General features: G+C 54.2%; 1 protein-coding gene across 3 annotated transcripts; it reads right to left on the bottom strand.

The window, feature by feature from the left end:
• On the bottom strand, positions 1,316-13,937 carry CHGA (chromogranin A). 3 transcript variants are annotated; one of them, XM_011536370.3, is made up of 9 exons: positions 13,589-13,937; positions 13,196-13,429; positions 12,356-12,402; positions 9,903-9,996; positions 8,983-9,051; positions 6,786-6,884; positions 4,899-5,351; positions 3,750-4,231; positions 1,316-1,800 (listed from the first exon to the last, which is right to left on the bottom strand). In XM_011536370.3, exons 2-9 carry the CDS (start codon positions 13,239-13,241, stop codon positions 1,717-1,719), a joined length of 1,374 nt encoding a protein of 457 aa, XP_011534672.1. In that variant the 5' UTR covers positions 13,242-13,429; positions 13,589-13,937; the 3' UTR covers positions 1,316-1,716. The 3 variants fall into 3 exon arrangements, with proteins under 3 accessions (XP_011534672.1, NP_001266.1, NP_001288619.1); NM_001275.4 differs by lacking the exon at positions 13,589-13,937 and having other exon boundaries at positions 13,196-13,451; NM_001301690.2 differs by lacking the exons at positions 4,899-5,351; positions 13,589-13,937 and having other exon boundaries at positions 13,196-13,451.
• Between the last annotated feature and the right edge of the window lie 10,374 nt (positions 13,938-24,311).

Here is a 24,311-nt window from a genome sequence, read left to right as displayed (position 1 = left end):
ATGGAACCTTGCCTGCTCAGACTCACCAGGCAGAGCCTCAGGGACTTGGTTCCCAAATCCCAACTGGCCTCTGGACTTGGCTCTGCCTGGGACCCTGGAGGGTGGCAGCGATGCCTCTGAGCCTCACCCACCCACAATGCCCATGTCTTTCCCATTCCTACCTGGAAGACACCACGTGGGCAGCCTGCGAAGGCCGAGGCCCCTCCCTGCACCCTCTCCACCACTGCCTGGGATCATCACCCTCCCTGGCTTGCTCGTGTTTGAGCTGCAAAGGCCAAGGACGTTAGCCCCAGAACTGCCACCTGGACAGGTGAAGTGACTGGCCAAGGCTAACCAGCCAGTCCAGCAGAACCTGGCTCGAACCCAACCTCCTCCTGGCCTGCAAGGAGCGCCCTCCAGCGTGGGCGTGTGCTCCTCCTGCTGAGCGTACTTTTGTCCCCATGGGTTGCTTTGGCTGTTGAAGGGTGCAGCTGTCCCCGCTGGACAGTGAGCTTCTTAAAGCCAGGGCTTGTCTCAGCCATGCTCAGGCCTACCAGGCCCAGAGCAGCCATGCACAAATGTTTGACGAGTGACTGAATGATGGGCCCTGATATTCAGCCAGTACACATGGGTCCTGACTGTGTAATCCTCACAGTCCCCACGCTTCAGTGTTCTGAGCATCATCCCCGCCTGTGACTTGGGTGAGTCATTTCACCTTCTCTGCCTCAGTTTCCTCATTCACAAAACTGGGACTAAGAGCAGCCCGTGCTCTAGTGAAGCGTTACATACACGAGATCTTCAGACGCCCCACATTCCTATGCCTTCTTCCTAGGCCAGAAGTCATAGCAGGGCCTAATAAGTGGTTATGCCAAGGGGTCCCTGCAGCTCAGAGGCTCAAGTCTGATGCCTGTGTCCTGCGACAGGCACTAGACTGGGGCTGTCAGGGCCTCCACCCGGCACCACAGGTGACTGGATGGCGGGGACCATCAGGGAGGGGCGACCTGATCTCAGGAAACAGAGCCCGTGTCCCCACCTGGCGCTGCCTCTGCATGGCCCAGCTCAGGTGTGGCTGGGGACGGGGAGAGGAAGGAACCTGGAGGCCCTCAGCAAGTGTGCTTTAATCCCTGCACACACTCTTTGAGGCAGGTCAGCATTCCCGTTTTACAGATGAGGAAACTGAGGCTCAGAGCTAACAAAGTCACTTGCTCAAGATCCCACAGCCAGGAAGTGGCCCAGAAAGGAGGTCCCCAGGAGGACTGAACCTCCCTTTGTCCCTTCGCCCAAATCCAGTGCATCTCACTCCACTCTTAAGTTGAGAGGCGAAAAAATTCAGAGGAAAGAGCCCAGAACAGATTTATTTTTCTTTAGATAAAGTTCATACAGAATATGTTACAGTCAGGAGTTCTCAGCTTTCACCAAAAGGTCAGAAGTTATTGCAGTTGTGCCCAGTGGATAGGATGGAGGAAGGGAAACTTCTAGAAAGCTGCCTGTGTTCAGAGAAGGAATCGTCAATGTTTAAAGTTGTGGGGCTGCCCTGCAAAGGATGTTCCAGGGCAGGTAGGAGTCAGGAGTAGGAGACAAGGCGCGTAGGGGGCGATAGGGTGGCCTGGGCTTGGGCAGGCTGGAGGCTGCCTCCCTACCGGAAGCAGCATCCGGGCCATCTGGCCAGGACCTGCCAAGGGGACAGCAGAGCCAGGGCCACAGGGTGCCCTGGGGCCAGCCCTGCCAGCCGGTGTCTCAGCCCCGCCGTAGTGCCTGCAGCTGGTGGGCCACTTTCTCCAGCTCTGCTTCAATGGCCGACAGGCTCTCCAGCTCCTGGTCCTAGGAGAGACATTGGGGTTCACTCGGGCCAGCCTGGCCAGTGGCATGGAAGGCACAGTAAGCCAGAAAGGCGCTGGGTTAGCTGTGTGGCCTCGGACAGGTGGCTTTGTCTCTCTGTACCCTCATCCATCATGGAGACAGTGATAATGAGCTTACTGTACTGCTCTCGGGATCATTATGCACAAGAAGGTGGCTGATGCCGGGGGCCCTGTCCCCACACTGCTCTTGGTGGCCTCTTATCCAGGCCCCACTTCCTCTCAAATGGTTCCGCACAGGTGGGAGTCTGTTCTTTTAGGGCACATGGAAAACAAAGCTTACAGTGCCCTGAAGAGCCCCCTTCCCTCGGCCTAGCCCATGGTTGCCAGGACCCAGGGTGAGGCCAGCCTGGGACTTCCGGGTCTGTCTTCTGCAGCCTTCCCACCTGAGGGGAATGTGGGGCCTGAGACAGGGCTACATGCTGGGGGAGCTGCCCCACATCAGCCTGCCTAGGGCTGGGCTTTGATCCCTGGTCCTGATTGTGAGAGGATCCCGAACTCTGGCTACCCAAGTTTAGGGAAGCAGGGACCCCTCCTCTGAGCCCTGTTCTATGCCCGTCTGCAGAAGCTTTCAGGCCTCAGAACTTGGACACCCACAAGAGCACAACCTCAAGACTTAGAGCAGGAGCGCAGGGAAGGCTGCCTCCTTTGACCTGGGAGGGGTCATTTTCCCGGGGTCACTGCCAGATTTGAGGCTGCCGAGGGCATCCTGGCCCAGGGACCCCGACATTGCAGGCCGTGGAAATAGACTCTACAGCCCCTTAGTCTTGGAGGAGGCCCTGGGGCAGGTGCTCTGCGAGGCTCGGGTTTCTAAGAAGACCCTTGGGCTGTGTTGAGGAGGCCCCCACCCCATCCTCTCCATATGCCTCAGGGGTCCAGTTTCTCTGCCCTGCGGTCCAGAGCTCCCTCTGCTTGTGGAGAAAGGAAGCTGGTGGCACCTCTGGGCCCCCATTCTCTCCAGCTTTGTCCTCAGCCCCTCGCCCTGGGCTCCCAGGCACGTGGGCAGATGCCCTCTCCCGCTACAGCTGCCAACATGGAGCCTTCTTCCTCTCAGACTGCCAGGCCCAGAGAGGGGGTCGGGGGCCCAGTGAAGGGGCCACACCCTCTTCTAGGTGGGCAGAGAAGAGCCTTGGGGTCAGGGCTGCGGACAGGTGTCAGCCTTCCCACAGAGCCTGGGTTCCTACCTGGACACTAGGCTTGAACCAGGTATCCCAGCCGCCTAGCTGCCAGGGACCCCAACTCCCCCCTGCTCCTGTGGGCTGTGTCCCCACGCCCCATTTGTCTTCCCCAGGGGCCCTGGTTTTCAAAGCCTTTGTGTGTTCCAATCATGGTAATGACGTGGGCAGAGGAGACTCCTTACCCCTACTTCATAAATGGAACTGATGAGGCTCGGGGAGGGGAGTGACCCTCCCAAGTCCACGCAGCCAAGAGGAGGCAGAGCCCAGGTCTTCCAGCTCACATCCGGTGTGGCTCCCACCCACTCCCCACAGGCAAGAGATCCCTTGGCCCTGCCCCTGCCCTGCCCCGTTACCCTCATGGGCCAGAGGCAGGGCCTGAGCCTGGGAGGAGGCTGTGCCTGGGCTGCCTGGGGGCCAGGAGGGGACACGGTCAGACCCACCGCATGGTTTTTCCAGGGCACCCTACTGCCTTCTGGACAACGTCCCCACTCAGCGCCTCCCCCGCTGCCACAGGCTGACCTGAGCTCCTCCCATCTCCCAGCCAGCTTTGCTGGGTGCCCCCTGTGAGCTGGGGTGTTCTCCCACCCTGAGAGCCCCCGGTCTGAGCATCTCTCCATCCCCAGACTTCGGCGGGGGGGCCCTGTCCCCTCAGTGGGGCAGGGGCAGTGTGTCTGGGTGCGGCTGCCCCCTGCTGCTCCGTGGCCTGGCACAGAGCTGGCTCCCGCCCCATACCAACCTCTGGTCTGCGGTTTGCGCTGCCCTCCTCCTCTTTCTTCTCCTCGGGGTAGCCTCGGACCTGGAGGGGCAGGCCCGCCTCAAGGCTGTCCTCCCGGGAGGATGGCCTCCAGCCTCGTCGCAGCTGCGGCCCAGGGCCCCTGAAGCCGTAGGCCCGGGCCCGGAAGGAGAGCTTCATGGAACTGTCCCGGTTGTCCTCCTCCTCCTCCTGCCCCTCCAGCCGCTTCTCAGCCGTCAGCTCCTTGGCCAGCTGGTCCATCTTGCTCCAGCGTTTGGAGTCCTCCCACTCCTTGGAGAGCCGCTCCTCCTCCTGCTCCAGCTCTCCGCTCTTCCCACCCCGGAAGAGGCCTTGCGGGACCACTGCCATCTCCTCCTCCTCCTCTTTCTGCTGGGAGTGCTCCTGTTCTCCCTTCCCTTCGGGGTCCTGAGCCTCCTCAGCCCCAGGCTTCCCAGCTCCATCCACAGCCAGAGCCTCCGACCGACCTGGAGCAGGTGGTGGGCAAGAGCAGGAGAATGGGTGGGGGACCACCATTTTCCCAGTCTCTGCCACTCCCTGGGGGCCTCTGCTGCGGCCACAGCCCAGCCTCTCCACAGTGATGACGCTTAGCGGGAAAAACCTTCTTGATGCCAGGCTTTGCAAGACCCTCTCGGCTCAGAGGGGTGGGTTAGCTGGAGCCTGCCTCTTCCCCTCATCCTCACCCCAGAAGCCCGGCAGCTGGAGAGTGAGGAAAGACCCTGACAGGCCCGCAGCGGGAGCCAGGGCCTCTCCTAAACCGTAGTTGAAGCTGACACTGTTCCCAGATCAGCCTGTGCGCTCCTGCCATGGTCTCTGTTCCCAAAGCCAGCCCACCCATCACCCACCCCTAGCTTCTGGGGTTGGTGGGGGGAGGCTATGTGGAATAGTGGGAAATGCATGGTTTTGGAGTCAGATAAATCTGGGGTAGAACCTCAGCTTTTGCTACAAATTAGCTGTGTGACCTTGGGCAAATTACTTAACCTCTCTGAGCCTCATTTGTCCACCTGGGAAATGGAGCTAATACCTACCTTTCAGGGTTGTTATGAAGGTGGAATGAGGTTATGGAGAAGGCTCTCCTCCCACCCATCCCCCTCTCCCAGACACGTTCGTTGAGGTCTTCGCCATCATACGTACTCTCGCCTTTCCGGATCTCCTTGTAGCCAAGGCTCGGGTGGGGGTTCAGCACTACAGTGGGGCCTTCTTCCTCGGGGACAGCCTCCTCTCCAGCCTCAGCCTCCTCCTCCTCCTCCTCCTCCTCTTCTCTCTTTGCCTGCCACCCTGGCTCTGCACTCAGGCCCTTCTCTCTGTCCACCAGACCCTGAGAGAGGCCCTCACTGTCCCCCTCGGCCTGTGGGCCTGGGTATTTCTGGCTGGGGAGGCTGGCTGGAGGGTGGGTGTTGGTGGCCTCCTCCTCCTCCTCCTCTTCCTCCCCAGGGGCCTGATTGTTCCCCTCAGCCTTGGACTCCTGCATGGGCTCCGGGAGGGCCTGGGGCCTGGCTCCGTCTGTGGCTTCACCACTTTTCTCTGCCTCCTTGGAATCCTCTCTTTTCTCCATAACATCCTTGGATGATGGCTCTTCCACCGCCTCTGCAGACACAGCACAGCCAAGTCAGGCCCTGAGGACTGGGCCACGTGTGGGGCCTCCCCACAGGCTAATTTCAGATGTTACTCATTATGTTTCTTGGCTTCCAGCGAGCCCAGCCCAGGACAACGATTAGGGTTACCCCTCTGTCCATGTCCAGGCTTGATCTGAGCACAGCTGGATTTGTTTCTTTCTTTTTAATCCTGACTTTTAAAACAGGTTATTATTCAAAGAACAAAAACAAAAAACCAGACCTTAAGATTAATCCAGGAGATAAAGCCTGAACTGAAAATTAATGTCAGCTGTGTGATCTTGGGCAAGTTGCTTAACCTCTCTGTGTAAGAGGCACCATGACTGCAACTTCATTCTCCCCTCCATGTGGGGCTTCTCTGTCTTCAGCATCCTGTGAAAGGGCTCAATTCTGCAATATTTTAGGGTTTCATTAAAAGGTATTTTATTGTGGCTGCCTTAAAGACAGCCTTTGAACAAGTGAAAATTCCTCCCGTCATTAGAATGATAACCACTGAACAAAGTGCTCCCAAGTACATTCCACCATCTGAGCTTCACCAGGACTCTGGTGAAAGGTGCTCCTATGCCTATTTCACAGAAACCCAAAATGATCTGCAGAAAGGTAAGATGACCTGTCCATCTCACAGTTTGCGGGCAGCAGAGCTGAGCCTGGAACCCAAGCCTCCAAATGACAAGCTCGGGATCTCTTTGCACTGACACATGGCTGCCTGCCTCATTAAAGCTTCAACCAAAGTGGGGGCACCTGGGCTTCACTTGCGGGCTTTCCCTTTCAGCCCCAGATGGGAGACACCAGGATCCAGCTCCTGGACACCGGCCTTACCGGCCCATCTTCTACATGGAGAGCAGAAGCGCCACGGGGCCAGTTTGTGGCTCTCCCCGGGAAGGGAGGATGGCTCAGAGTGTCGCACTGACCTAAGGCATGACCTCTTAGACTCCTAGAAGCTCTTTGGTTTCAAGAAAGATGATCTGGGTTCATTTCACGTTTCACACCTACTCTGTCTGTGGTCCTCCTGCATCCTGGCTATTCTGAGGCCCCACCACTTCCCAGGAGGACAGGCACTGGGGGTGGGGGCTCTGCTACAGTGGCCACTGGGTAGACCCAGAGTTGAAGCTGTCCACCTGCCATGCCAGAGATCTCCTGCCCTAGAGTGCCAGCCCCTCTTCTGGGCAGACGGGACCGAGCGAGGGCTTTGGTGTGAGGCAGGACCAGATCGAAACCCCTGGTCATGCCACTCACCTTGGGCAAGGGACCTAGTCTCTCTGAGCAGCAGTTTCCCCATTTGTAGAGAGAGGGAAATAAGGGATTATGGGTGGGGCTCCCGACTCACTGGAACCCTGGGTCCATCATAGCCACTGTTCCCACTGCCACCCTCCCTTCCCCACCTCCGGCCAGACCGGCTGGGACAGACCTTTCAGCTCGGCCTGGCTGCTCTGGTTCTCAAGAACCTCTGAGAGTTCATCTTCAAAACCGCTGTGTTTCTTCTGCTGATGTGCCCTCTCCTTGGCGCCTGGTATGAGAAAAGGAGGGAAAAGTCCCATTGGGTGCAGCTGTGGCATATTTGTCTATAAGAGTGAAGACCTCCATTTCCCCATCTGTAAGCTGGGCACATCATGTTCAGGGCCTGCCCAATGAGACACTGATGGGGCGTGAGCTTGGGGAGCGGTGAAGGGTTGGCGTCCCTCACCTCTCTCAGCTGGGCCCTCAGGCAGCCACCCTGCCTCGCCAGACTCAGCTTCTCCCTGGGAGGCCAGAGCAAGCGTGCTGTGGCCACACAGCAAGAAAGGCTCAAATGGAGCAAGGATCCCAGGGGCAGGAGTTGGGGGTGGGGAACCCCTCAGGACCTGGCTGGGCAGGAGTTGGGGGTGGGGAACCCCTCAGGACCTGGCTGGGCAGGAGTTGGGGGTGGGGAACCCCTCAGGACCTGGCTGGTAGCTCCAGGAACCCTGCAGCAGGCAGTAATGGTGACAGCTCTTGATTCAGGCAAGCTCTGCTAACCTTGGACGCTGAGTCCAGGCCCGGGGAGAAGGCCAAGCCCTGTGCCTACATCTGAGCCCAGGGTTGGCGCCTGCAGCCATGACCCAGAGACCCCTCTCCCCCCGCCGCCGCTGCCTCCTCTGACTGTCCCCACACCTGTGCCTTATTCCTGATGTTGGCCCCTCAGTTAGCCCAGCTCATTTCTTCCCCAACAATGGGCTTTCCTGGGCAGCTGTGGGCCAGGGAGCATGCCCAGCCCTGGTCTCAGGCAACGTGGGTTCCAGTCCCCTTCTGGCTATTTCCTAGCTCCATGGGCAACTTGGGCTCTCCAAGAGTTGGGTGCTTGTCTAGAAAATAGGGTTGCTGTGTGGTAAATGCTAAGACAGAGGCACACAGAAGATGTTATGGGAGCCCAAGAGGGAGTGGACGGATAGACGGATGGACAGAAATACATCCAGGAATCTGTTAATGGAAAATAGTCATATATACATATATTGGATACTGCTTATACGGGATACACACGTGCATGTGAATAGAGATGTTTCAGGACACATTCTCCTATAATAGTCTCTGTTGACAGTCTATTTAATTATTTAAATGTAATCAGTTAGTCATTCAATATTTAATTTTAAAGTTATCAATTGTAATAAAATATTTAATGCTTAGTTAAAAACAAAACAAAACACTAGTCCAAGGTCACTGATGATGACATAACTATCCAGGTAATAATAGTCCCAGCTGTGCCCAGCACTCCCTGCCCCCTCCAACAACAGTAGGAGGTGGGTGCTTGCTGCCCAGGCTGGCTCATGAGTGGGAGGAAGAACAGTGTGTTAGCTTGGAAAGGGCCACAGGAATCCTACTGACGTGGCTGTGTTTACGTGCCTCCTCCCCAAAGCCCTCTCTGTTCTCACACATGGCCTGGTCTGTCCCAAAGGCCTCAGAGTGGGGCCCATCCTGAAGCCAGAGCAGCCTTCGTACCCCCACCCCACCCCAGACACAAGCCCAGCCCTGAAAAACACTCTCGCTTCGTTGGGAAGCAGATGCTGGATTCATGCTGTAATGCCCTGTTCTCATGGAGAGACACACCACCACCAGTGGTCCTGCCCTGGTGGAAACGGCCGCTTCCCACAGGAAGTCAGCCGGGGCAGGTGCAGGGCCAAACTCAGGTTTCCTGACTTGCAAGGCTAGGGCCGTGCTTTGCATCAAGCCTGGAAGGAGCTGGGGGGCTGGGCATAGAGGCTAACTGTGGGAAGATGGCAGCTTAACCCTCCACTCCAGTATCCTGTCCAGGCTTGGCTTGAATATCATCAGTGACGAGTGGCTCACTACTTCATAAAGGTATTTCCTAAAATGACTGAACTGCAGAGGCCGTGGGTTTTAGGGAAGCTGCACCTGGCATGTCTCTATTCACTGTGTGACCTTGGACAAGTCACTCAACCTCTCTGGGCCTTGATTTCTTTAACAATATCAATAACAGATTGAGCCAGGTGGCACGGCGGATCCTGCTTTTCCGCTTTATAATTAAAAGGAAATGACAGTCCCAGAGAGGAACTTGCTGAATCTTCCACCAGATTTTCTGACTCTCAGTTACTGGAATTTACCCAGAGTCAAGTGCAGTGGCTGGAAAATACCTTGGAGAGCGAGGTCTTGGAGCTCCTTCAGTAAATTCTGATGTCTCAGAATGGAAAGGATCCGTTCATCTGCAATGAAGAAGAGTCATCATGGGTGGTTTCCAGAGAACAGCCGAGAAAGAGATTACCATCAATATTTTCAGCTGAGCACAAGGAATTTACTCTGGAAACTCAAAACCAGGGTGGTGGCAGCAAGATTGGGTCTTCAGATAACACTTTTGAAATTACCTCCTTTCCAAGGTATGTGTCAGTTTCCTACTACATCAGAGAAGTCAGCCACTGCCCCAGCAGCCAGACCTTAGCCAAAGGGTGGCAACCCCTGAGGATGAGTGGGGTCTCTTTAAATACAACAGGTTCCCATCTCCATGCCTGTGTTCACACTGTCTACCACACCTGGACAACCCTGTCTTCATTTTTCCACTCATCGGTTTCCAATGTTTCTTTTAAAGCCCAACCGAAATGCTGCTGGCTCTATCCAGCAGTTAGTAAAAACTTGACTGGTTGCCTGGAAAGATTTCGTCCTTCTCCTGTCCACCCATAACATTCCTTTATTCATCACACATCTAGAGGGTGTCTGCAGAGGCCAGAGGCTGTTCTAGGCACTGGGATACAGCACACAAAATCTTTGTCCATAGGGAGCTCACAGTCTGGGGGCTTGCTGTTTCAGCCCTGGTTTTATTTTGCCCAGAGTTCTAGTTAACTGTGTTCATATGCATCCCCTCTGCCAGTCTGTAAGCACCTGGGCTACAACCCCTTCAACTGTCTGTACACCTTGGACCCTGGTGCAGTGCCTGGACATGACGGGCACTCAGTCAGTGACTGTTGAGTTAAATCATTAATTCCACCAAAAGCCACACACCCATGTCCTAGCCTCCCAGCCCAGCAGGCAGCAGCCCTCACCCCTAGCCTCCAGCTCATACCTCCTCGGAGTGTCTCAAAACATTCCTGGCTGACAGGCATGGGGCTGGGCTTGGAAAGTGTGTCGGAGATGACCTCAACGATGCATTTCATCACCTGGGAACACAGTGCAGGGGCAGGTTGGGGCTGGTTTGAGCATGGGGCTCAGTCCCTGGAGGCTCTAGGGTGAATTTCTAGTGAGGACAGAGGGTATTTGCTTTTGTCTTTGGGAGTCCATGATCCCTGGCTCAGGGACACAGCTCTGCTTTCTTAGCCAGACAGTGATAGCAATGATAATAGAAAACCCTTAACACAGTGCTTACCATGTGTCAGCCACTCCAACCACATGGCCAGCAGGTTCCCCTCCAAGGTGGATCATAGTGAGAATGGGGTGTAGGGAATGGTACCTGGTACCTTCTCATCCCCAAGTGCTATTTCTCTAAACATGAGAAAACTGCCTCAGGGCACTAAAATGATGTCTTACAAAAGTGCTCTGATCGTGAAGATGCCCAAAGGTCAGGTCCTCCAGGAAGTCCTTCTGGACTGCCCAGAGGAGACAAAGACCTTCCCTGGCTCTACCCTGTTTGGAAATAGGATGTAGGTTACTGTCTCCAAACACCCATGGTGTTGTCGTATGCAAGGAGTCACAGCTTCATATTCTCACTCCATGTTCATCATGGGATGGGTGAATCCCTGGGCGGCATGTGAGCACACATTGACTACACCTGGGAGCATATCCCAGGTCAACCACAGCCACGCCTCTGAAAGTCTTATCCTGTGCCTGCAAAGGTGCTGTGGATAATTAGGCATCTGATAAATGAGTGATCTTTGATGATGGTGCCCACCGTAATGTGGTATCCTAGCTGTGTGATCTTGGAGAAGTGACTTAACCTCTCTGAGCCTCAGTGTCCTCATTTGTAAAACGGGAGTGAGAATACCTTCCCAACTGCTCTCCCAGGGTAATGAGGTACAGATGGAAAAACACTCTTTCAAGCATGGAGTGTCAGCACGCCCAGGGAGGGGTTCACAACTCCAGCCCTGCTTCCACAGCCTAGAGCTGAGTAGAGAGCAGGAGGTGTCAGACAGGCATCAGGCAACACCGGCAGGGAGTGAGGGGGTGGGAGGCTGTGTCTACGGGATGCCAAGGCAACCGGTCCAAGGATCCAAGATGGCAAACTGGCAAGTGCTGTATAATGCATGTAGTCACAACAACCTCGTATAGAATCTTCAGGTCTTAGCCAGCTGCTCTGGTGCCCCTGACCACAGGCTGCTGGGTATAATATGGTGACCAGGGTGTCTCCCATAAGGGATCTAGCAAGGAGAGCACAGCAGCCTGTACCCTGTATCTCCCTGCAACCCCGGACCTTGCATTGGGAATATCAGATAACCACCTGTTCGAGAGGGCATTTTCTGGGAGGCAGGAATTGGGTAGAGGGTCTGGAGAGGGATGGGGAGATCAAGAAGGCAGCTCTAGGAATAAAAGTGCCCATTTACTGAGGACCTATTATGTGCTAGGCAATTCACATCCATGATTCCTACTCTTTACACCTCCCCTCAAGGAAAAGGAGAAAAAGGCGGAGCTCAGAGAAATTAAGGAATTTTCCCAAGGTCACACAGCTAGAATGAGTGGTAGAGGTTTAAATTCTGTCCTATCTGCAACTAAAACATAGGAAATATAATTGAGCAAACAGAGGTTGGAATCTCTTGGATGGTTTGGATTTTAACTGTGGTGTCTAGTGGAAGAGAATAGTTTCTGGGAAGGTGGGGAGTAGAAATTTCTCTGACCCTCAAGTCAGAGATTTGGATGAGCACTAGAGCCTGGAAAAAACAGCCCCAGCTCAGCCATGAATGAATTCCAAGTACACACCCAGCGTGGTGTGTCTCTTGCTGCCAGAGAAACCCCTACTAGTGTCTCCTAAGGCCCTTTCCTGGGTGACCTCCACAACTAGCCCCTATTGGTGGGACCGTGGGTGCAGGAGCCATGATCAAGATGTTTTGCTTGTGTTCCTTTGGGACAGCCAGGGCTGGAGAGCCTGCTGGGTGTGGGTTGTTACTGGCAGAGCCTTTCAGGGAGAAAGAGCAAAGCGGGGAGGCCAGAGCCAGGCAGGCAAAGGCCATTTTTACAGGTCTGTGGACAACTACAACTACAGAGAAGCCACCCCCACCAGCCCCTGGGGAGCCTACTGGATTCAGAGTGTTCAAGACAGCCTGAAGCCAGGCACCTCGGCCCAGCAGGTAAGATGCAGGCCTCTTCCGCTGCATGTGCAGCTCAGAGGAAGCTGGGGAAGTCCCCACAGCAGGACAGCAGGGAAAGCAAGCAATCTTTGATATCTTCTTTTGCAAGCTGTCCCCAGGCTCAGCAGCCGCAGTGCTGGCTCTTGGCTTTATGCCGAACTTACTCCTGCAGCTGCCCAAGAACTGGCTGTGAAGTGTCCACTGGAGCCTCCTACCCCTCATCCCCAGCACCCCTTCTTACCTCGGTATCCCCTTTATTCATAGGGCTGTTCACAGGGAGCGCAGTGACTGGGAAGAAGAAGAGAGTGCTGGGGTCACTCCTCTGCTCCAAGTGGAGGCCAGTCCTTTCTGACCGGGCTCACTGGGGCCCGTTCACCCAATGCCACCCCTCAAAACTGCCCCCACCAAAAAGAGAGGCTAGGGCTGATTTTGTTTCCCTTCCCTGGTTGCTGCCCACAGTGGGGTGGTCCCCAGAGGCTGCACTGAGAGGTCCTCCCCCTCCCCCTTTGGAAACTCTTGCTCTGGAGCGGGTGTGCTTTGGAGCGGGGAGCGCCATCAAACAAGGCCAAGAGCTGCACAGTGGGACGGGTGGGAGACAGACGAAGGGGAGAGAGACCCCAGAGGTGGGGGGGGCGGGGGAAGAGATGGAGGAAGGGGATTGTGAGGGATGATATGGAGAAGTAGAAGTCAAGGGCAGAAAGGCGGGGAGCGTGAGATGAAAGGGGAAGAGGGGTGGAGGGTTGCGAGCAGCCATGCTCCCACCTCCCCGCAGTGACCTTGGCCGGCCACCGCGCAACCGGCACTGGCCCTGATGCAACCGAGGCGCCAAGCCCAGACAAGGGGTGGGCACAAGGGGGAGTTGCCCCGGGGGGTTGGGAGTCAGGCCCAAGTGTCTTGTGGGTCCCAGGCGGAGGCCACACTGCAGGGTCAGGCGGGAGGCGGAGGCGCTGTCCGCGGTGCTGAAAACTCGCCGCGCCCGAAGGGAAGTGTGGAGGGGTGCGGGGCGCCGCGCGGTGCCCGGACCTCAAGGTGGGCAGGGGCGCCCGGAACCCTCTCCCGCGAGCTCCCCGCGCTCGCTCACCTTGCCCGGCGCAGAGCAGAAGAGCCAGGACAGCGGCGGAGCGCATGGCGGACCCGGGCGCCGAGCAGCTGGCGGTGTGGGGCCGGGCACCTAGGCACCGGGCGAGGGGCGGCTGGACTGGCGGCCGGGGTCGGGCTGCGGTGGCACCGGCGCGGGGCTGGGGGCGCAGTGCCTCGGCGTGCGTCCGTCTGTCGGTCGATCCTCCCGCAAGCTCCCCTGCACGGGGCTCGAGCACTGCAGTGGCAGGAGCGGTGGCAGCAGCAGCGCCCTCGCGCCCCGCTTATATACCCCGACCCCGGAAATGACGTCAGCGGTGCCGCCCCCTTCCCCTTTCCCCACTCCCCAGGTGTCCAGTCCCCGCTCGCCCCCACCTCTAACCTCACCCCTCGCTACCTCTGGCCTCCGCCGCTTGGAGCTGGTGGGTCTTGGCCGCGAGGCGGGTATCTGGTTTCCAAGAGGTGGCGTGGGAGGCGGGGGGCTGTGGCTGATCCTCCACCCCTCGACGATTCCACCGATTTGCCTTGTGTCCCTGGGCAAGTCACTCGGATCTCTGGACCTTGCCTTCTTCCATGTGTACTGAGGTCCCTGGCAGCGCTAGCACCCCGTGCTATTTTTCCTAAGTGCCCTCTGCCTGGGGTATGCTCCCCCGGTCTCACAGGCTGGAGGCATGCCCATCACTCATGGCTCTCTCCAATATCTAGGAGGCTCTAGAGGGGCCTTTGATCCCCTGTCTGAGTGAGGCTTCTCTCTCTCTGGCAAGCTAGTTTTGTGCCTTCACACTTTGTTGTTGAATGTGTATTTATTTGAATAATGTTTAGTCATCATTACTTTCACAGTGCTGAGCGCCACACAATCTGGCACAGAGGAAACGCACTTGACAGGTAACTGATGAATGTATCCATTAAAGGTTCAAGCCATGGGTGAGTGAATCCTGGGCTCTGCATACACACGGGAACCAGGGGCTCACTTTCACCAGGAAGCTTAAGCCACTGTTGGACACCTCTTGTTAGGTAGAGGGAGGAGTGGGGGCCAGTTCTTATTACATCCGCCAAAATAGGAGTCCTTGCAACACCTACCCATTAGCCCTAGTGCAACCCCTTAGCATCACCTTCTTGCCACTGGCAGCCCATCTGAATTTGAGAACAGCTCTCACCTCTTCCTGAGCATTCTCAAAACCTGGATATTTTGTGTAAAAGGTCAGTTTCCTGGTTGGCTTCCCTTATTTCTGGGGCCCCTGATGCTCCAGCTCTTTGGGCTCCAGCTCTGGGGGCCGTGTTGGAAGCTCTTTGCCACCTGACCCCACTGTCACAGGGAACCTGGGATCTGGGTGACGGTTTGTCATTGGCTGGCATCGTCCAGAGCCCCTCCTTCCTGCCCACCCCTCTCCATCTGCGGCTGCTGTTTTCTACTAATACTTCCTTTCCCACACCTGTGCTCACGCCTGTCCCTAAATGAGAACCTGGTGGGAGCTCAAAGGAGACTGAAATGGCCACATTCATGAATTTACATATTTGCTTTGCTAAGCACCTACTATGTGCTTAGAACATCCTAGAACAGTACACAGTTGAGGGTACAGCATTAAACAGAACAGACAGAAGCCCTACATTCTAGATGGTGAAGACAGACAATGAATAAGAAGTAACACCCACAGTTTGTCAGCACGGAAGGGGACGGCTGTGCTGAGACAGGGTGGGGTTATACTTAAATAGGGTGGGTCAGCTGGGCGCAGTGGTTTACACCTGTAATCCCAGCAGTTTGGGAGGCTGAGGCGGGCAGATCACCTGAGGTCAGGAGTTCGAGACCAGCCTGACCAACATGGTGAAACCCCATCTCTACTAAAAATACAAAATTAGCTGGGCATGGTGGCGCATGCCTGTAATCCCAGCTACTTGGAAGGCTGAGGCAGGGGAATCGCTTGAACCCAAGAGGTGGAGGCAGAGTGCAGTGAGCCAAGATCATGCCACTGCACTCCAGCCTGGGCAACAAGAGTGAAACTCTGTCTCAAACAAACAAACAAACAACAACAACAACAACAGAAATGGGAAATAGGATGCTGGTTTCCAGGGGCTGAGGGGGAGGAGGAAACAGTTAGTGTTTCATGGGTACAGAGTTTGGGCAGATGAAAAAGTTCTGGAAATGGATAGTGATGATGGCTGCACAGCAACATAATTGGACTTAATGCCACTGAATTATGCCCCTAAAAATGGTTAAGATGGTAAATGTTATGTTAGGGATATTTTATCACAATAAAAAAAAATCACTCTCAGTGTCTTGTGGGGATGTTGACTGCAAGAAGGTGGCTGGTTCTAGCCTGGAGGATAGAGAGCAGGGGGCAGAGCAGGTGTCCTGGCCTCCCTGGAGGACAGAAGCTGTCCAGCCAGCATCTCTGGGAGCACCACAGGCACTGGAACTAGTGAACAGAAGGGGAGGGGCACCAGAGCCCCTGCCCGGGCTTGGTCTACTGGGATCCAGGGAGGATTCTCACAGATGTTCTCCTCTCCAGAATGCTGATTTCGAGAGAGGCCCCAAAAGTAGCCCTCTCTCTCCCCCATGGGGAGATGTAGGCTCAGAGCTGGCCAGGACCTCTTGCTGCTCCCCAAAAGCCAGGCGTGAATCTAACTCCAACAGTGCAGTCAGAGCCCTGCCCATGTCTCTTGGTGCTTTGAGGGCCCTGACGAACCTCCCACCGCTGGGATCTACCCTTCTGTGCCCACAGGCTCTTTTTTTTTTTTTTTTTTTTTTTTTTTTTTTGAGACGGAGTCTTGCTCTATCATCCAGGCTGGATTCCAGTGGCACGATCTCGGCTCACTGCAACCTAGAAACCCAGAAGCCTGCAGAAAGCTGCAAGTTCAGGGAGTTACCCCCAGGAGCAGCCCTCAGCCGGTGATATCAGGCTTTTACTTGTAAATACCCCTGGGTGGGATAATTCGAAGGAGGATTTTTTGGTACCATTTCCCAGCAGTGATGTCTGGCTTGATAGTGCACACTTTATTGACAGCGCACACTTCATTTAGACAGCCCACATTTTATTGACAGTGCACACTTTATTGACAGCGCACACTTTATGACAGCACACACTATTGACATCACACACTTTATTGACAGCACACACTATTGACAGTGCACACTTTATCGACAGCGCGCACTTTGACAGCACACACTTTGACAGCGCACACTTCACTGACAGAGCACACTTTATTGACAGCGTGCACTTTATTGACAGTGTGCACTTTATTGACAGCGTACACTTTATTGACAGCACGCACTATATTGACAGCTCGCAGTTTATTGACAGCACACACTTTATTGACAGTGCGCACTTTATCGACAGTGCACACTTGATAGCGCACACTTTATTGACAGCGCACACTTTATGGATAGCGCACAATTTATTGACAGCGCACACTTTATTGATAGCGCACACTTTATTGACAGCGCACACTTTATTAATAGCGCATACTTTGACAGCGCACAATTTATTGATAGCGCACACTTTATTGACAGTGCACACTTTATTGATAGCTCACACTTTATTGACAGCGCAAAGTTTATTGATAGCTCACACTTTATTGATAGCGCACACTTTATTGACAGCGCAAAGTTTATTGACAGCGCACACTTTATTGATAGCGCACACTTCATTGGCTTCCTTTCCCTTCCCGACCCATTCACCCTCCCGCCCCGTTTTCCCTTCCTGGTCTTCTACCAGGGATTCCTTGTCAGCCACGTGCACTCAAATCCTTGTCTCAGGGAACCCAAGCTAAGACGCTGACCAGCACCGGCTCTGTGTCTGAGGTGTGGGTGGTCTGTTTTCCCGTTCCTCCAATGGTCCTTGGTACTGTGGCCACATGGAACTCAGTGCCCTTCAAGCCTCATCCCTTCTCGGGCCCTGGCAGGTTTCTCCTCTGTCCCTGGCTCCGGGGTTTGGTTGGTGTTAGTGTGGAGGGTGGCTCTTTAAACACCTGTCCTACCTAGGAAGTGTCTTGTCAGCTCCAGGTCATTGCAATGCCTCCGACCAAGGTTGTGGTCCAAATGGTGAGGGTGGGCCGAGGCCAGAATGCACTTGGTTGGGAAACTGAACAGGGCCTTCCATGAGCCAAGGTGCAGTGACAGAATGAAGGGGTGGGCAGAGCCCGGGGCTCTAGGGTCAGCCTGACACACAGCCTACCCTGGGGTTTCCATCAACTCCCTGAGCGGCCCATGCCAGCCACTTTCCCATGACTTCCCATGAGGAGGAGGATGATAGAATTGCTCACAAGTGTGTGAAGAGTGAAGCAGTCCATGCAGGTGAAAGGCTCACGTACTTGTGATGCAGTCACTATCATCATCCTCACCTGTAGATTAGGAGGTAGAGGGTCAGAGAGGTTGCCTAAGTTGCCTAATAGCACACAGCTAGCAAGTAGCAGAGGAAGGATTTAACCTCAGGCTGTGGGTCCCCAACACAGTAACGTGGATGTTTATTGGTTTTAGATAAATGTGGAAGTTTATTGCTTTTAGGTAGATGCTAATTTTGTCTGACAAAAGGGGAATTGAGTTTCAGAGACAGATAGTGTCTTGTCCCAAGTCACACAGCAAATCCAAATCAATAGCAGGGCTGGGTTGAGAGCTAAGCTCCCCTGGGTCCCAGCATTGGGTTTTCCTTCCTGGAAAAGGTTGCTTTCCCCTGAATGTCCCATGTGATCGTGCTATGGGGGAATGAGCTTCCCCCAGGTATTGCCCAGGGTTGCTCAGCTGCCTTGGAGATGAGCAGTCCAGGCCCTGCCACACTCCGGCCTCTCTGGATCCATCCTCTTTTTCACCAGTTCTACCAAAGCTGTTTGGGGTCTGGGAAGGGGAGACATTCAACTAACATGTCTTGAGCACCTGCTGTGTTCCTGTCTCTGTTCTGGATTCTTGAAATATGCTGCTAAAGAGAAGAGGCAAGGCCCCTGCCTTGTTGGAGCCTATGTCCTAGGCTGAGACAGACATCAACAGCAAACCATAATAAATATGTGCAGTCTAGAGTGGCGTAGAAGGTGGTGATGGCTGTAAAATACCAGGGTGGGAGGGCGTGGGCCTCACTAAATAAGTGGCCAAGGTAAGCCTCATTAAGACAGTAACTTGAGTGAGGACTTGAAGCGGTCCAGGGAGCAAACCACATAGGTGTATGGAGGAAGAAATTTCCAGGCAGAGTGAACAGCCAGTGCAAAGGCCCTGGGGTGGGGGGCAACAGCCAGTGCAAAGGCCCTGGGGCGGGGGCATGCCTGGCAGGCTTGGGAAGGAGCAAAAAGGCCGAGGTGGCTGGGAGAGAGTGAGGCCGGGGTGGTAGGAGATGCCGTGGTGTGGGCTCGCATCACGCAGGGCTTCATGGGCTTTGGCAGGGTCTTTGATTTTTACTCTGAGAAGGGCAGGAGTCACTGGGAGAAGATGGGTGGGGAGGGTGTGAGGCATTGGGGTCTACAATACATCCTATGGATGGGCCCTCCAATCTAGCAAGCTCCCAGCAGCCCCAGCACCCAACTCCATCCCAGGAGGCCTGAACCAGAGTCCAGGAGAGGAAAAGAGAAAGCCATTGCCACCACCAGCCCCTGGTAGCCAGAAGTGTCCCCTTTGGTGAGCATCAGATCCCAGGGGGTGAGTGGCTGCTCCCCTGACTGAGGCTCAGGACTTCTCCATGTGAGTGGTTCCTGCCAGGGGTCCTGCCTGTGCCCCAGGGAAAGCGGCAGCTGCTTATCTGATGTTGGGGCCCAGGCCATGGAACAGCAGAGTCAATACACCCTCGTCCCACTTACAAAATCATATTTTCCAAACACACAGCTCCCCCAAGCCCCTTATCAGGCCTCCAGGTGGAAAAGCCCTGTTGCCTGGCAATGTTGCCTTATCTGCCAGGTCTGCATGGAGGCTAGAGCGAAGTGATTTCATTATATCCTCTCCCATCTGTCTCTGTAAACATCCCCGGGGGCTTCCAATTAAGGTTTTGCTTTCCTTCTTCAGCAGATGTTTGCTTTAATCTAATAAAACAGTTTGCAGGCCTCCTCAGTGGGTGTAGGAGGGCTTCGGTAGGCTTCCGCCAAGGAGGGTGTTGGGAAAGGTAGGGGGAGGGTGCCAGGCACACCAAGCCCTGGACACCGAGGCTGGCTGGGGCACGAGGCACAGCAGGCTGGAAGAAGGAGTGGGCCTGGCCCACACCGAGAGGTGAGAGACATCTGCCCTGTGCCCCACCTCCTCTCCTTCCCAGGGCCATATTCCCCGGGGTCCAGCGGCATGCTGATCCCTCTTGAACATGATGTCTTCTAGGGTGACACCGCTAGGTCAGAGCTTCTGCTTCCAAGGGGAGATCACCTGAGAGATGGGACTGTAGAGGCTCCATAAAGAAGGCGCTACGGGGCAATTGCTTAGTGACGTGCAAACTTCAAACTCACACCCGGCAAACCAGAACATAGGAAGCTGCAGGTTAGGTCCACGGTGGAAGATAGTGGGAGGCACTGACATGGCTGCTTCGATAAGTCATTGTGGTGGAGAGGGAGGTCAAAGCAGAGGTGTTTCTAAGATGGGCCCAGCAGTGAAGTCTCTGAACAGAGAAGACCCCCTGCCCAGGCTCCAACCCCTCAACTTCGTGGGTTCAAAAATGGTTGACCTATAGGGCCTCCTAGGGAGGAAACTTCCAGTGACTTAAGGGTGGTTTATGTCCCTAGAGGTCTTTCCTGGGTGGCAGAAGCATCTAAGAATGGTGGGGACAGCTGTACTTTGGAGCCAGAGAGACCTGGGTTAAACCCTGGCTCTTCCTATACCCATTGTGTGGCCTTGCAAACATTAAGTCACTTTCTGAGCCTCTGCTTCCTCTTTTACAAAATGACCCAAATAATCCCTTCTGTGATTTCTGTGAATTTCACTAGGAGGGTTCAGTCTCACCAACATTTATCAGTGGCTACTATGTTGGGGCCGGCTCAGCGGTGTTGGCAACGGGAGGGGAAGTCCCAGCACAGTTCCTGGCCCTTGAGGGTGCTCAGCACCTGTGACTGTCCCCAGGTGGATGTCATAGCTCTTCCCTTCCCTCTCTCCCCCAGGCTCTGTCCTCGGCTGTAGCCCTGGGTTCACCTGGCTCCATTTGCAGCTGACTGACTAAGTCAGCCATGCCCTGCAAGCCTCAGCATCAGCAGCACTTGGCAGCTCAGCTTCTGAGAGAGCCTCTGTTTTCTCTTCAGGAAGATAGGGCTGTTGATATCAGTACCCACCTCCTAGAGCTCTTGTGAGGCCTCGTGGAGTTAATGTGCATCAGGTGTGTCACACAGAGTTTGGCTTGGATGAGTGTGGACTCAGTGGCAGCGCCTGCCTGTTCTTCTCGTAGCTTTGGGATGTGGTTTTTCAGGTGGCTGAGGATCTCTGATGTTCAGGATGGTTGAGCTACACATGGCTGTGTCTAGTGCCCCCTGAAGGAGAGGCAGGAAATGAGATGGGGGTCCCTGGTGAACTGAGGGGTGCTGCTCCTGCTCTCCACTGAGGAGCAGAGGGTGAGCTCATGACCCCAGCCCTCAGACCCTGCCTCTCCAGAGCCAGCCCAGTTGAGGGTCAGAGGCACAGACAGAAAGGTCTTTGGGGAGCTCTGGCCTGGAGAGAGGATGCACAGTGCACTCCCTAATGGTGGGGCCTGCAAGGCAGAGCTGAGGCCCCTTGTCTTCTGCCAAATGATGTTTCAGAATCAGTTAGCTGAGCTGCTTCCCCACTAAAGGACAGGCTGTTCCTCCACCCTCCCCTCATCCCCATAGCTTAGAGACTGAGCAGTCTGGTTACCCATTTCTCCTCATGCATCCCCAACCTTCAAAGGGCCAGCAGAGAAGCCAGGACCCAATGGGCCTTAATCATGGACCTTTCTCCTTACCTGGACCCAGTTCAATCCAGGCACTGACCTGGTGTCTTCATCTTCATCCACCTGCCCAAGAAGACTTCTCTTCCTTCTGTGTCTGAATTCCATGATGAGGACTTCATCCCTGTGGTCAAAGCTCAGCAGCCCCACCCCAACTCACTCCCAACAGGAGATGCCACATGTCAAGCATTCTCGGTCATTTTCTCTGCTGTATGGGGGGATCCATGCAGGTGGGGCAATGGCACCAAACCACTTTTATCTTCCAGAAAAACTAGAAATTTATACCCTCAGAATGATCCTGTCATATTTCTTTGGCTTTCTCTCTTGTTATCCCACTCTTATCCCCTCATCAGCAATGCAGCTTCAGCTGCACCAGTCTAGGGGAGTCCCACCTCCCCTGTGGCATATGCATGTGCCATGCATGTTTCTGCTTCCGTCCCTTTCCACATGTGCCCTGGCCAGGAATGCCTTCTTCTCTTGCTTATTCATCTTCCCCAAACATTAAGGCTCAGCTCAATTCCACTCCATGCCTTCCACCTCAGGAGATCACTGTCTGCTGAGATCTTTTAGCATTTACCATCCTCAACACCACTACTTGGCTCCTGCCAAATACTGTTTTGCTCTTTGTGTAGATTACTTTGTATGCAAATCTTTTTTTTTTTTTTTTGAGACAGTCTGGCTCTGTCACCCAGGCTGGAGTGCAGTGGCATGATCTCGGCCCACTGCAACCTCTGCCTTCTGGGCTCAAGCAATCTTCCCACATCAGCCTCTGGAGTAGCTGGGACTACAGGTGTGCACCACCACACCCGGCTTATTTTTGTATTTTTTCGTAGAGGCAGGGTTTCATCATGTTGCCCAGCCTGGTCACAAATTCCTAGGCTCAAGTAATCTGCCTGTCTTGGCCTCCCAAATTGTTGGGATTACAGGCATGAGCCACTGAGCCTGGTTCTTATGCAGATCTTTTATCTGCCCAACTAGATTTCAAGCCTTTTTAGGGGAAGGACATTGCTTCAAACTATCCCAGACCCTACATCTATGGGAATATGACCTATTTTTTTTTTTTCATGGAGGTGAAAAATAGCTTAACCCAAATATGAGGACAATGGGATTTTTCACAAGGTAGGAGACTGGTTGGGAGGTGTTTGATGGGGATGACGGGGGGTCCTTTCTGGATCCCCTGCCTGTGTGTCACCCTGTGAATAGTACTCACACTGGCTCTTCATGTAAAGATGAGTAGGTCAAGCGATGCTCTGTGGGTCTGCTCCAGTGTGGGCGGAATGCAGCGCTCAAGGTTCGCAGGCTGCTGTCCGTGGTCCTGAACTACCACCTTCTGTGGAGGAAACCTGGGTACTGATTTTGGTGACTCTTATCTAACACCTCCCAGGGGTTATAGTTTTAACGTCTTACTTTTTTTTTCTAGCTGTTTAAACTTTTGAAATTTTCAGATAATTAATTAGAATCATGGCTTTGTTTCTCAAAATTCTCAAAAATTCATGGAGCTTTATCAGATTTCCAATAGTCAGACATTTTTTACCTTTGAGAAACTGGAGGTGAAGTCATATGTCTCCTCCATCATGTCGCTCACAATATTTTTATGATTTTAAGACCCAGCTTGCTCCATGAAGTAGTGCATTCCCACATTTTTACATCATTTTGTAGACATCATATTAGCTTTACCTCTTACTGACTGGGTGAACATGGACAGGCCAATTCACCTATATTGGCCTCAATTTTCTCTTTCTAAAATTATGGCAGTAACTAGGCACAGTGACTCATGCCTGTAATTCCAGCACTTTGGGAGGCCAACGCAGAGGATCCATTGAGCTCAGGAGCTCAAGACCAGCCTGGGCAATATAGTGAGATTCCCATCTCTACAAAAAATAGAAAAAAATAGGCATGATGGCACATGCCTGTAGCCCCAGCTACTCAGGAGGCTTAAGGAGGAGGATCAATTAATCCCAAGAAGTAGAGGCTGCAGTGAGCCTTGATCTTACCACTTCACTGTAGCCTGGGTGACAGAATGAGACTCTATCTCAAAATAATAATAATAATAATAATAATAATAATAATAATAATAATAATAAAGTAAAATGGTGGGAGTGATGGTGCAGAAGATTTGGACTTGATTATCTCAGAGATCCCTTTCTTTGCTGAAGTGGTGGCTCCTGATTCAATGCCCCTGTCTCTCACATCTCTGTGAGCCTTTCCTCCCAAGCTCTTTAAAATAAACAAGAAAATCTAGGTCATTCCCTGCATCAAGCTCAAAGGCAGTTTCTCACAAATGGCCTTACTTCAATTGCTAGTAACAAGGGGAGGGCTTCTGCATGTGAGACCCACTCCCATCGCAGAAGGACATTCAAAAACACCCGTTCCTCTTCTCTCATGTAGCGGTGACCTTACCCATATCCCAGCTTTCCTGCTGGAAGTCACGTGTTAAAAAGCACTTGGTCCCACATGTAAGCAGTAGGGAGGTGTCTACACATTCTGGAGTAGGTCTGTGCCTGAACAGGAGGTTTTGAGGACAGCAAAGGCTACTGAGTTGGCCTCAGAACCAGGGAGCCTTCCCAGCGTGGAGGATCTCAGAGGCCTCCTGCTGCTGTCATATCCCTGATGAAGGGGCTCAGAAGAATCCACAGCCTCCCTCTCCCATCAGCCCCCTTGGCTCCCAGCTCCAGGACAAGTGGTTCAGGGCCAGTGGGTAGATAAAGCCCTCGCTTAAGCCTGGACCTCCCTAGGTGTTGCAACCACCTCATCCTTAGATCCCAGTGAGAGATCTTATTCCTGAGGCATTGAGTGCTAATAAATAATAAATGCCGCTCCCTCTCCCTCTCCCTCTCCCTCTCCCGCTCCCGCTCCCTCTCCCGCTCCCTCCTCTCCCTCCTCTCCCTCTCCCCACGGTCTCCCTCTCATGCGGAGCCGAAGCTGGACTGTACTGCTGCCATCTCGGCTCACTGCAACCTCCCTGCCTGATTCTCCCCTCAGCCTGCCGAGTGCCTGCGATTGCAGGCGCGCGCCGCCACGCCTGACTGGTTTTGGTGGAGACCGGGTTTCGCTGTGTTGGCCGGGCCGGTCTCCAGCCCCTAACCGCGAGTGATCCGCCAACCTCGGCCTCCCGAGGTGCCGGGATTGCAGACGGAGTCTCCTTCACTCAGTGCTCAATGGTGCCCAGGCTGGAGTGCAGTGGCGTGATCTCGGCTCACTACAACCTACACATCCCAGCCGCCTGCCTTGGCCTCCCAAAGTGCCCAGAGTGCAGCCTCTGCCCGGCCGCCA

Source organism: Homo sapiens, chromosome 14 (genome assembly GCF_000001405.40).
Source record: "Homo sapiens chromosome 14, GRCh38.p14 Primary Assembly".
NCBI lineage: Eukaryota > Metazoa > Chordata > Mammalia > Primates > Hominidae > Homo > Homo sapiens.
Note: the sequence above shows the minus strand (reverse complement) of the source record. Positions and strands in the feature narration are given on the sequence as shown.